General features: G+C 42.9%; 1 long non-coding RNA gene across 2 annotated transcripts in view; it reads right to left on the bottom strand.

The window, feature by feature from the left end:
- CSRP3-AS1 (CSRP3 and E2F8 antisense RNA 1) overlaps positions 1-13,136 on the bottom strand; it is a 116,546-nt gene that overhangs the window by 17,048 nt on the left and 86,362 nt on the right. For both annotated transcript variants that reach the window (NR_183675.1, NR_183672.1), the window contains exon 4: positions 4,182-4,348. This is a non-coding gene — a long non-coding RNA (CSRP3 and E2F8 antisense RNA 1). The remainder of the gene's footprint in view (positions 1-4,181; positions 4,349-13,136) is intronic.

The raw sequence follows: 13,136 nt of genomic DNA, 5'->3' as shown, positions 1-13,136 counted from the left end.
CCCAGGCCTCTGAGGAAGGTATGCCAACAGGCCAGGGCTGGGATCACCAAGGAGGGACAATGGGACTGGTTCTGAGAGTGTGGAAAAAAATGAAGACTGGAGCCAGCTGCTCCGCTGAAATGAACTGCCACTGCCAAAGCAAAGAAGCATTGTTGGAGTGATGCTGGCAGGAACTGGAAGCAAACAGGAAGAGGCATATCCCTTTTCTCTTCTCCAGGAAGCAGTCTCCACATAGCACCTTCTAATAGCGGAATCTGATATGGATCCATTTGGCAAAAGGAAAAAGGGTTTGCAGAATCCCATCCCAGCATCACAAAGCTGAGTATTAAACAGTAGGTGTGAATTTGAGGCACAGTAGCAAGAAACCAATGGAAAGAGAAGGAAAAAGAGTATACCTGTATAAATGTACAACTTATCAACTGACTGTTTCATAGCTAAACTATGTGAATGTATATTCATGCATGAATACATCATGTTTTAATGATAACCCCCAATTTCAAATAATAATATCTAGTATTTACTGAGACTTTGCCAGGTACCAGACAAATGCTAAACTCTTCACATGAATGATCTAATTTATAAGAACCCAAAAAGGTAGATAGCAAAAAAATCTTAATTTTACAGATGTGAAAATTAAGACTTAGAGAGGCTAAGTTGCATATGATCCTCAGAAAGTAGTAGAGTCAAGACCAGACCCCGTAAAGTTCATGCACAGTCACTGCATCACCTCTTATCTGCTGAGATCCATAGCTACAAACTCTTCCATCCTTTCCTCTCCCTTCCCACTAATATCGTCAGGACCTCTCTAGCAAGAGGGCTAAAAGATTCCTCAGTGCTGTCTCTTCAGATGCGCCATACAGCTCCAATTTCATGTACATCAAAACTCAGCATTTCACAGAATTAGAAAAAAAAATCTGGCCAGGCACGGTGGCTCACACCTATAATCTCAGCACTTTGGGAGGTTGAGGTGGGCAGACTGCTTGAGCTCAGGAGTTCCAGACTAGCCTGAGTTACATAGCAAGACCCCATCTCTACTAACAATACAAAAAAAAAAAATAGCTAGGTGTGGTACTGCATGCCTGTGGTTCCAGCTACTTGGAAGGCTGAAGTGGGAGGACTGCTTGAGCCAGGGGGCAGAGGTTGCAGTGAGCCAAGATCATGCCACAGCACTCCAGCCTGGGTGACAGAGTGAGACCCTCTCTGTATTTTTTTAATTAAAAAAAAGAAAGAAAGAAATCTAAAATTCATTTGAAACCAAAAAAGAGCCCAAATGGCCAAAGCAACCCTATGGTAAAAAAAAAAAAAAATAAAGAAGCTGGAGGCATTATACTACCTGACTTCAAACTATACTACAAGGCCACTGTAACTAAAAAAAGCATGGTACTGGTATAAAAGCAGACCACAGGCCAATGGAAAGGCTTAGGGAACCCAGAAATAAAGTGCACACCCTCAACCATCTGATCTTTAACAAAGCTGACAAAAGCAAGCAATGGGGAACGTACTCCTGATATGGTTTGGCTCTGTCCCCACCCAAATCTTATCTCATATTGTAATCCCCACATGTCGAGGGAAGGACCTGTTGGGAGGTGATTGGATCATGGAGGCAGTTTCCCCCATGCTGTTCTCCTGATAGTGAGTTCTCAAGAGATATGATAGTTTAAAAATCTGTGGCTTCCTTCACTCTCTCTCTCCTGCCACCATGAAGACGTGCCTTGCTTCCCCTTCGCCTTCCACCATGATTGTAAGTTTCCTGAGGCCTCCCCAGCCATGTGGAATTGTGAGTTAATTAAACCTCTTTCCTTTATAAATTACCTAGTCTAAGGTAGTTCTTTATAGCAGTGTGAAAATGGACTAAAACAACTCCCTATTCAATAAATGGTGCCGGGATAACTGGCAAGCTATGCAAAAGATTTAAAACTGGACCCCTCCCTTTCACCATATACAAAAATCAACTCAAGATAGATTAAAGATTTAAGGGTAAAACCTAAAACTATAAAAACCCAAAACTATAAAAACCCAAGAAGAAAATCTAGGAAATACCATTCTTGACATTGGCCCAGGCAAAGACTTCATGACAAAGACTTCAAAAGCTATTTCAACAAAAACAAAAATTGACAAATGGGACCTAATTAAACTAAAGAGCTTCTGTACACTAAAAGAAACTATCAAGTCAACCTACAGAATAGGAGAAAATATCTACAAACTATGCATTTGTCAAAGGTCTACTATCCAGAATCTATTTTAAAAAAAAACTAAAACAAATAAACAAGAAAAAAAAAACCAAATAAACCCATTAAAAAATGGGCAAAGGATATGAACAGAGCCTTCTCAAAAGAAGACATATATGCAGCCAACAAGCATATAAAAAATGCTCAATATCACTAATAATTAGGTAAATGCAAATCAAAACCACAATGAGATACCATCTCACACCAATCAAAATAGCTATCATTAAAAAGTCAAAAATAACAGATACTGGTGAGGTTGCAGAGAAAAGGGAATGCTTATACACTGTTGGTGGGAATGTAAATTAGTTCAGCCACTGTGGAAAGCAGTCTGGAGATTTCTCAAAGAACTTAAAATAGAACTACTATTCGACCCAGCAATCCCATTATTGGGTATATTCCTAAAGGAGTATATTCTCTACTATAAAGACAAATGAATGCATATATTTATCACAGCACTATTCACAACAGCAAAGACATGGAATCAACCTAGATGCCCATCAACAGTAGACTGGATAAAGAAAATGTGGTATACGTATACCATGGAATACTGTGCAGCCATTAAAAAATGAAATCATGTCCTTTGCAGCAACATGGATGGAGCTGGAGGCCATTATCCTAAGTAAATTAACACTAGAACAGAAAACCAAATACCACATGTTCTTACTTATAAGTGGGAGCTAAACATTGAGTACACATGGACGCGAGGGTTGGAAAACTACCTATTGGGTATTATGCTGATTACCTGGAGGCCAAAATTATCTGTACACCAAACCCTGGGACACATAATTTGCCCATATAACAAACCTGTACATGTCTTCCTTGAACCTAAAATAAAAGTTAGAAAGAAAATAAGAGCATTAAAGCATGACCAGCATTAAATCACATATACACAACCATACACCAAATGAAAAGCAGGAAAGAATGTTCCCATACATAAATACATTAGTATCATCTGCAGCCAATAAAATAATGATGTGGCAATACATGAGTTAACATGGAAAGATAATCATAGCTAACATTTAACAAGAGCATCTCCTATGCTGGGAACTGTATTATGGAATTTTTTTGGCATTAACATATTTAACCCTCACAACAACCTATAGTTAGTATATTCCATCATTATCTTATAGTTAGTATATTCCATCATTATCATATAGTTAGTATATTCCATCATTATCATATAGTTAGTATATTCCATCATTATCATCTTCATTTTACAGATGAGGAAACTGATGCACCATAGCAATTATGTAACTTGCCCGAGATCATACAGCTAGTAATTGATAGAGTCAAATCTCAAACAAGACAACCAGACTTCAGAGAATGTGATGTCAACCACCACATTATTCTGATTTCAGTAGACTATAAAAATCCATAATATGCCATTCAGTGAAAAATAAAGCAGATTAGAGAATAGTATTTATAGTATTATGCATGTCTAATACACATACATGGATATATATACCTTTGTATTTTTTATTTTAGTCCATAGGGAAAAGTATGGGAGGGCTTATAACAAAATATTAACAATGGTTATCACAGAGAGGTGGTTTGATTTTTTTTTTTTTTTGCTTTCTTGTATTAAAATAACTATGTGTTCTGGTTTTTCTACAATAAACACATTCTTTGTAATAACATTTTAAAGATTTTTGTAAATAAATAAGTGTCATCTTGGAAAAAATGATCTGGCAATTTGAACAGCTTTTTAATATTTTGGGTGAAAAAGAAGAGCAAACATGTGTTCCCACAGACATGCACAATAGAAAAGAGATTTAAAAGCATCTACTTCATCCTAGCAAGACAATAAACCAGTCCCTGACAATCATTCCGATATCTGAATAAGCCCAGGAGCCAAGTCCCTGGAATTATTTTAAGCATGTTCCCTTTTCCAGTGCACTGTGAAGAGATTGCAAATTTATTAAATATGAGATTATTCCACTTTGAAACTCATACCTCCACGATTCTAATCAAGATGACTTGGTCCCTCTGAACATCCGACATTTGCTCACTGGATAGCATTGTTGTGGCAGCTGTGATGTTATCCCTTTCCATCGGGAGTATTCTCTCCAATTTCCCCAAACCATGTGCTGCCTTGGAAACATCATGATTCTTATAGAGATCTAAGCAAAGGGAAATAATAAAAATAATAAAATATTACACTTAAAGTCTATCTTTCATGCCACCAAGGTGCCTTGCTAAACCCTTCCTCTATATAAAAAGACAGACAAGCAGAGTGGCCCATACCATGTGTCATTCTCATAATTAACAATTAGAGAAAACACACCGATCTCTGCTCTCTGGATAATTCCAGTCACAGTAGTTTTCCACCTGAATTAAGCAGATTGCCAAGGCCAATATTTTCATGAACAGAAAGATTGAGTTGCCTATCTAAAGATGCTGACATGAAAGAGGCCTCTGTGAGAGAAAGCAATGTGGCATCTTACCATCAGGGCATCAACTCACATGAAATAAAGGTCTGTGGTAATCCAGGGAATCTTCCCTCTAAAGCAAAGGTTCACAGACTTTTCCTACAAAATGCCAGATGTAAATATTTTCAGCTTTGCAGACCGTATGATCTCTGTCACAACTACTTAACTCTGCTGTTGCAGAGTGAAAGCAGCCATAGATACTGTGTGAAAAGAAATCAGCATGACCGTGTTCCAATAAAACTTTATATAAACAGATGGTGGGCCAGATTTGACCCATGGGCTGTAGTTTGCTGAACCTTGCTCTAAAGTATAGGCTAAAGTATAGGTGTGTCTGCAATATTCAAGGCTGCCTCTGAGGAAAACTATAAAGTTGGTAATATTGTTCTCATTGGCTTATTCAATAAATGCATTGCATCCCTCAAGCCAGGGCCTGGCTTAAGCCTTGAGAATCAGAAGTAGAAAAGCAAATAAAACCCCTAGTGTTTACATTTGGGAGAGGAAGTACTAAGCAAGTAAACAACATGTAAACAAAAAAAATTTCTGGTAGTGGTAAGTGATATAAAGATGATAAGTAAAGGCATTGGGTTACTTGCTGGGGCAGGGGAGTCCCGCTTTAGATAGGGTAGTCAGGGAAAACTGAGGAAGGTACTTTTGATTTCACATGACAGTAAAGAGAAGTAGGTACAAATGCAAAGATCTAGGCAAAGAGTAGGCTCTCAGGTATGGAGAACTCAAATGCAAAGAGGCCTAAGGCAGAAAAAAGGCTTAGTGGGTTTGAGGAGCAAAGAGCCCTGAGGCAAAAAGGCTGCCTAGTTGGAGAATTTCTTGAGATAAGGAGTTTGAGACCAGCCTGGGAAACACAGCAAGACCCCATATCTTAAAAAAATAAAATAATAAATTGTCCAGGGGTAATGTAGTCTCAGCTTCTTGGGAGGCTGATGTGGGGGGATAGTGGGAATCCACAAGTTTAAGGCTGCAGTGAGTCACGATTGCACCACTGCACTCCAGCCTGGGTGACTGAGCAAGACTCTTGACTCTAAAGAAAAAAAAGTAAAGAAAGTACAAGACCGGTCCATGTCAAGGAGAACTAACTGATGGAGTCCTCCAGCCTCTACAGGTCTATAACCTGGACTACTGGTGTGAGTATGGCTTGCCCTGCAGAGCCACCAACACTTCATCAAAGGTCTTCTGCAGTCCTTGAAGTTTAAACCCAGATGGGGCTGAGGTTAAGGGCACATCAGAGAGAAAGGACAGCAGCCAGGCAAGGAAGGCGCCAGAGGAGGAGGGCCTTGCCTTCACCTGTGTCTTTGCCAGGTTAGCCTTTCCTTCTGAGTCTACCCAGTGATTCCAACGGGCTTCAGCTCCTGCTATGATCCAGGCTCAAATCACAAGATTGCTTCTCTTTGAGATCATCAAAAGTGCAAGCACAGAGAGTGACCGTAGGGTTCTCAGCTTGGTGTCTGCTCTCTCCTTATGTCTGCTGAGGCATATTTCACTCTTTTCTTTCCACTCCAGTGGTCTTGGAGCACAATAAAAAATCTAAAATATTTGTATTCCATTTGAGTTAATACCACATTTTCTGTAATTATCCCCGCTGCTAAAATCATTTTGTTGTGTGCTTTTTGAGTGAGAGGGAGGGGGTGGAGGATCAAATTAATTCTTTGGCAACAAAAATCTGTTCGTAGTCATTTAGAGCCTCTTCAGTCTGTGGAAACTGCAGCCAAAAAAGAGTAAGAACACTTAGTTTGGTAGTGAAAAAAAATCAGGTACTTTTTAAGATACCAGTTTTTATGAATGTGCAAGTGGGAGGCTGGGTAGGTAAAGGAGAGGAGGGTTTTTGCAGTCAGTCTGAGCTGGGCTTGAATCGCATATCTGCCATTTCCTGGCTGCATGACTTTGAGGAAGTTACTTTGTCCATCTGGTCCTCAGTTTTCCCACCTATGAAACGGAAATAATGATGTCCTCTCTTAGGGTCAGTGGAGAGATTGAGATGATGTCTGTAAAACCTTTACAGGTGTTTGTCACATGGAAAGCACTAAGTGTTAATGATGATTTATTAGCATCCCCAAGCACTGCTGCTATTACATAAATTACAAATTTTTGGGAGACAGTTTTTAAGCTTTTTCAGAAATGTTCTTTAGGCTGGGCACAGTGGCTCATGCCTGTGATCTCAGCACTTTGGGAGGCCAAGGTGGGTGGATCACTTGAGCTCAGGAGACCGGCCTGGGAAACATGATGAAACCCTGTCCCTACAAAACATACAAAACTTAGTCAGGCTTAATGGTACGTGCTTGTAGTCCCAGCTACTCAGGAGGCTGAGGCGAGAGGATCACTTGAGCCCGGGAGGCAGAGGTTGCAGTGAGCTGAGACCCCACCACTGCACTCCAGCCTGCGTAACAGAGTGAGACCCTGTCTCAAAGAAAAAAAAGTTCTTTAATATATATACATACATATATATGCACATTGTGTATATATATCCTTTAACTAAATGTATTATGATTTTAGAAATACATACTGAGGAAAAAAGAGATAGAGATTTAGCTGACGGAATGTTCATCATGCTATTGACTCTAATAGAGAATAAGAAAATCTAAACATCTTAAAATAGGGATTAGTAAAATAAATCATGCTACACCCATAAAATGGATAATCACTCTTCATATCACTGCCAAAGAGGAATGTTTATTGATGAAAATATGTGTTCATAGTTAAATCAGGGGAGGCACAGGAAGCCAGTTACCCGTTTGTAAAGTATAAACCATATTTATTTTGTTAAAAATATTTTGTACCTGTGTATGTGTATATATACAAACTCATACGCACACACACACACACACAAAGAGAGAGAGAGAGAGAGAAAGAGAGAAAATGTTCTGAAAGTATGACCAAAGGTTTTTTTTTTTTTTAATTTTTAATCTTCATCTTTTATTTTAAGTTCAGGGGTACATGTGCAGCATGTGCAGGTTTGTTACATAGGTAGACATGTGTCCTGGTGGTTTGCTGCACAGATCATCCCATCATCTAGGTATTAAGCCCAGCATCCATTGGCTGTTCGTCCCTATGTTCTCCCTCCTCCCACTCCCCATCTGGCTCTACCCATCCAGCTAAGCTGCCGGATCAGGGTTCCTTCTGCAGCAACTCTCAGCAGCAGCACGCTGAGCAATAAGATGAAGGCAGGGCTGTGATTTTTCACAGAATTGGAGATCAGTTTGGGGAGTACTGAGCTACAAACAAAGCCAGAATTGCATTTTGGAGAAAGAGAGGGAGGGGAAAAGTTACAAAAAAGAAGAAAAAAGGAAAGACAGACAAAAAATACATATATTAGCAAAGGATCACTATCCTGGTCTTACCCATATTCTCCCTTTATGATTGAAGCCTATACTTATTCCACAACAAGCCCCTAGACTATCGTTGCAGGATCCCCTGTCACCTCCATGCAGAGTCCATGCAAATTCCAAGTGGGCGGGGGGGGAAACATGCTTTGATCATGGCTGGGCAAGGCAGAAGGGTAATGTTGTCCTAAGAATGGAAGGCCCTGATGGAAGTTTGAAGGCATGTCTTTGAGACTTTCAAGAACGTTCCTACAGACTCCTGCAAAACATGAAGCAGATGCCCATAATAAAATGGTATCCTGCTGGATCTCTGATGGAAGAAACAAACCTTGAAGCAAAAGAACCTCTACATTAGATGGACCGTTTCAGCTTAATCGTAAAAGAGAAAGCAGTAAATGCAAAATTGGAAGAATAATAATAAAATCCTCAAAACAGCCTGACTTGGACGGTCCGTATTTATTCATTTAATTCCACAAATGCTATGTGTATCTTTTTTTTTTTTTTGAGACGGAGTCTCGCTCTGTGGCCCAGGCGGGAGTGCAGTGGCGCAATCTCGGCTCACTGCAAGCTCCGCCTCCCGGGTTCACGCCATTCTCCTGCCTCAGCCTCCCGAGTAGCTGGGACTACAGGCGCCCACCATCACGCCCGGCTAATTTTTTTTGTATTTTTAGTAGAGACGGGGTTTCACCGTGTTAGCCAGGATGGTCTCGATCTCCTGACCTCGTGATCCGCCCGCCTCGGCCTCCCAAAGTGCTGGGATTACAAGCGTGAGCCACCACGCCCGGCCGCTATGTGTATCTTAATGTGCTGGGCCTATGAGAGTTACCAAGAAGTCTAGGACAAGGTCAGTCCTCATGAGCTCACCATCTAATGGATATGTTTCTTCAGGTTCCTTCATGCAGCAGATTGAGTTTTCCAAAAGTAATCAGCCACATAATAGTTCTGATCACACATCTTTCAAAACCTTGCTACTCCTCTATCAAAAAGGGGAGTCTATTTCCCCTTCTTTAGTGTCTGGATGGGCCTTTGTGACTGCCTTGACAAGTAGAATGTAGCAAAACTGAAGCTGCACATCTTCTGAGGCTAGATCTTAAAAGATGGTGCTTTCCACCTGGTTCTTTTTGGAAGGACCCTCACTTGCGGGTTGGCAGAGGCAGTGCCATCATGCTGTGAAGAAGCTCAAACTAGTCCATACAGAGAGACTTGTAGAGAGACCTACGTGGAGAGGAACTGAGGCCCCCAGCCTCAAGCCAGCCTCAGTCACCAGATATGGGAGTGGGCGGGCCTTCAGATGGGTGTAGCCTCTAGCCTTCAGGTCTTCTGGCTGAGGCTCTAGACATCATGGAGCAGCAACAAGTCATCCCTGCTGTGCCTTGTCTGAATTTATGACCCATAGAATCTATAAGCTTGATAAATCGTCTCATCCTAAATTTTGGAGTAATCTGTTACTCAGCCATAGTAAGTGGAATATCTTGGTCTCTTGAAGTTTAGAGCCAGGCAGACCTGTTTTTAAATCCTGGCCCTGAGATTTTCCAGTTGCAGGAGGCTGGCAAAGTTATTTAATCTGTGTGAGCCTCACCTTTCCTCTCTGTAAAATGGGTGTAACATCTACCTCGCGTGGCTGCCTTGACAAATAAATGTTACAACGTGTATAAAGCAGCTAGCCTGGTACTGTAGAAACAGAGAGAAACTGCTGTGGGCAGTCTGGGAGAGGATTCATCCTTAAGGACTAGAGTTGTCAGATAAGCATCCTTGAAACAGGTGAGATGAGCATGACCTGGAAGGGTCTGGCCAGGAAAAGAGGAGATGCAGGGCTTCCAGGTGGGCCCGGAGGGGCATCCCCCTGGAGGGATCCCCTCCCACCTTGTGGGCCAGGTCTAGATGGCCTTGCCTGGCTCCCTGCCCCCAAGCCCTGCAGTCTAATCCAGCGGCCACTTGACAGTTATTTGGAGCTTCTGTTTTGTTCTGGAAACAATTCTGGCCCAAGCCAGGGGAAGAGTAATTTTGATGCCCTAGTGACAGTTCCTGCCCACTCTGTCCAACTTCTCCAGGAAACAGCTGACCAAGGCAGCTGCTGAGAATCCAGGAAAAAAATCCCCGCAACTGCCCAGGGACTCTCCCACCTCTCTGACCTCCCACCTACTTCTGACCTGAGCTTTGCCCCGCTTCCATCCCTGTACCTGCTCTGCGCATTTGTGGAAGGATCTTGGCTTCCCCAGCCTGAATTTAAATGCCCTCTGAGGACTCTGGCTCCTCCCCAGTTTTCTGGTTCTTCCTGCCCAACCCTACCCTCGAAATCAGCCTAACCATACTAATAATAAGCAGCTACCATTTATTGACCACCCATGCCAGGCAATTCCTCACATTATCTCCTGTAAACTCCAGCAGCCTTCTGAGGCTCGTATCAATAGTCCCATTTAAGATGAAGAAACAAATGTCACTCAGAGAAATTAATTAATTAGCCCAAGGACACAAAGGAGATAGTGATAAAGACTCTGGGATTCCCCCAAGTCAGCATATTCTTTATTTTTATTTTTATTTTTTGAAACGAAGTCTTGCTCTGTCACTTAGGCTGGAGTGCAGTGGCACGATCTCAGCTCACTGCAACCTCCGCCTCCTGGGTTCAAGTGATTCTCCTGCCTCAGCCTCTTGAGTAACTGGGACTACAGGTGTGCGCCACCATGCCCAGCTAATTTTTGTATTTTTAGTAGAGACAGGGTTTCACCATGTTGGCTAGGCTGGTCTCGAACTCCTGACCTCAGGTGATCTGCCCATCTCGGCCTCCCAAAGTGCTGGGATTACAGGTGTGAGCCACTGCTCCCGGCCCAAATCTGCATCTTCTTAACCCTGGTATCACACTCGCTAACTCAGCCTACTTAGCATGCACACACTCACCTTACAGCCTGCAGTTGTACCACATCATTCCTCACTGCCTCCTCCCACCTCTGGCCTGAACTACTTCCCTGAGAGCCTGCAAGAAGCTGTCTGGACACTGTCCCTCTGGCACTGCCTGCTTGTCTTAGTTCCTTTCTTGGCAGCCAGGACCCTCATCTCCAACAGCCAGGTTACCTAGGATGACGCACGTGCTTGAAGTGGATCTGCTGCAGGTGATGGGAAGAAGATGGGCTAGGATGGGAGAACTACCACAATGTCTCAAGAATGTAGAGGCAGGCTCTGGGGGTTGGCCTTCCCAGTCCTGGCCTTTCCTGAGACATCACTGCAGGGCATCTTGTAATCAGCCAGACCTGTAGATAAGACCAGCAGCCCAGAAATTCTCAGATTCATCGTTTTTATGGGGTGGAGAAAGAAAGTATCCCTGACATTCCAGGCAGTCCTTCTCAGTTACTGCTGCTAATTATCAAAGCAATTGTCAAGCGATTTACTGGAAACTGCCCCCCTCATTACAACTAAGTTAGAAAGTTACCTCCAACTATCAGGAATCTGAGACAACTAGACGAAGTAACATGGAAGGTGTTTAATAACTGTTTGAATGAATGAATGAATGAATGAATATGTGAATTCACGCATGCATGAACAAGCTCACTGCAAGCTCCACGAGGAGAGATGCAAGATCTGCTTTGCTGTCTCTATACTTCCAGTTTCCAGCACTGTCTCCTGTAATAAATTATTTGGGGGATGGGGATTATTATAGTTTGGGGTGAACTGATAAAGACCTGGTCCTCAGGGGTGGCAGAAGGAAGGGGAAGATGAAAGAGGCCCTGAGAAGGAAAAAAAAAAAAAAAAGGCAAACCAGATGACAGATTTAGTCATGGATGGTGGAGGAAAGAGAAAAAGACTAGGATGTCCCTGAGTTTAGAGTGTAGGATACCAGGAGACACAGGAGGCTCTGGCCCATCAGGCAGGGGACGAAAGGGGATGATTATTAGAAGGGGCACAGGCCCAGTGTCAGCATCAGCGGATATTTGTCAGAGGACAAGAAGGAAGGCACACTGAGCTCCAGGGGCTTTAAGGATCTCACAGGACAATGTCTAGCAGGTAGCTGACTAGAGAGGGCCACCCCCCAGGAAGTCCTCTGCAGAAGTGATAATTGAGGCTGGCAGAGAAGGGAGGGGAGGAAGGAAGTCACTGGGGAGGAGGAGGAGGTGAAGTGCCAAAGAGGTGGGCATGTTTAGCAGGAGAGGAAAATGTTCAACTGGCACGTGGTGACCATTTTCTGTGAAAAGAAGGGCTTGCCATGTGAGGGAGGGGACTGGCATGATGCTGTGAGGGGCCTTTGACCAAAGTTGCAGAATCCCTAACTAAAGCTACAGGGACCCCAAGACCACAGGAACAAGCAGAGACTGTGGGAAGAGACCCAGTGGGTAGAGGAAGGGAAGTGTGAAAGGCAGTCAAGTCAGAAAGGCCAAAAGCAGTATCAAAAGATCAAAGCCAGTCTGGGAAAGAAAGGAGAGCTGGGTCAGGGAATTAGAGGGCCAACCGAGAAAGGCTAGACAACTGTTTAGGGTATAGGAGCTCAAAAGACCAGACAGGAGGAATGGCCTCAAAGAGAAAGACCAGGACCAGAAAGACAAAACCATAGGGATGCAAATTCCAGCCCAACAGCAAGTATTTTTTACATCCAAAGATGGGACAGAGTAACAAAGATGTGAATTTCCCCCTCACTTGGGGTATTTGACCCAAGGCTGGATGCCCATTGGAAGGGATGTGCAGAGCACACTGGCTTCATCTAGGGTATTGGACAAAGGACCTTTAGGGTCTGTCCTGCCCTGAGACTCAAATTCTCAGCAGCCACCCTGTCACTCTTCAGTATGTCTATCACCCTTCATTCATGTTCAGCACTGCCTTTTCACCAGCTCATATCTTCCTTTTTACCCATTAATTTATAATCTCACTCCCCACCTCCAGCCACCATATTATTATCTATTACTACAAAACAAATTGTTATGGGCTGCTTATTTATTTGTGTCTTCCCAAAATTCATATATTGAAGCCCTAATTCCCAATAGGAGGTGGGGCTCTTGGGAGTGATTCAATTTAGATGAGGTCATAAGGGAAGAGCCCCCATGATGGGATTAACATCCTTATAAGAAGAGAAAGATGGCCGGGCGCAGCGGCTCATGCCTGTCATCCCAGCACTTTGGGAGGCCAAAGCAGGAGGATCACATGAGGTCAGGAGTTAGAGACCC

Source organism: Homo sapiens, chromosome 11 (assembly GCF_000001405.40).
Source record: "Homo sapiens chromosome 11, GRCh38.p14 Primary Assembly".
NCBI lineage: Eukaryota > Metazoa > Chordata > Mammalia > Primates > Hominidae > Homo > Homo sapiens.
This window is presented reverse-complemented; position numbering and strand designations above follow the sequence as displayed.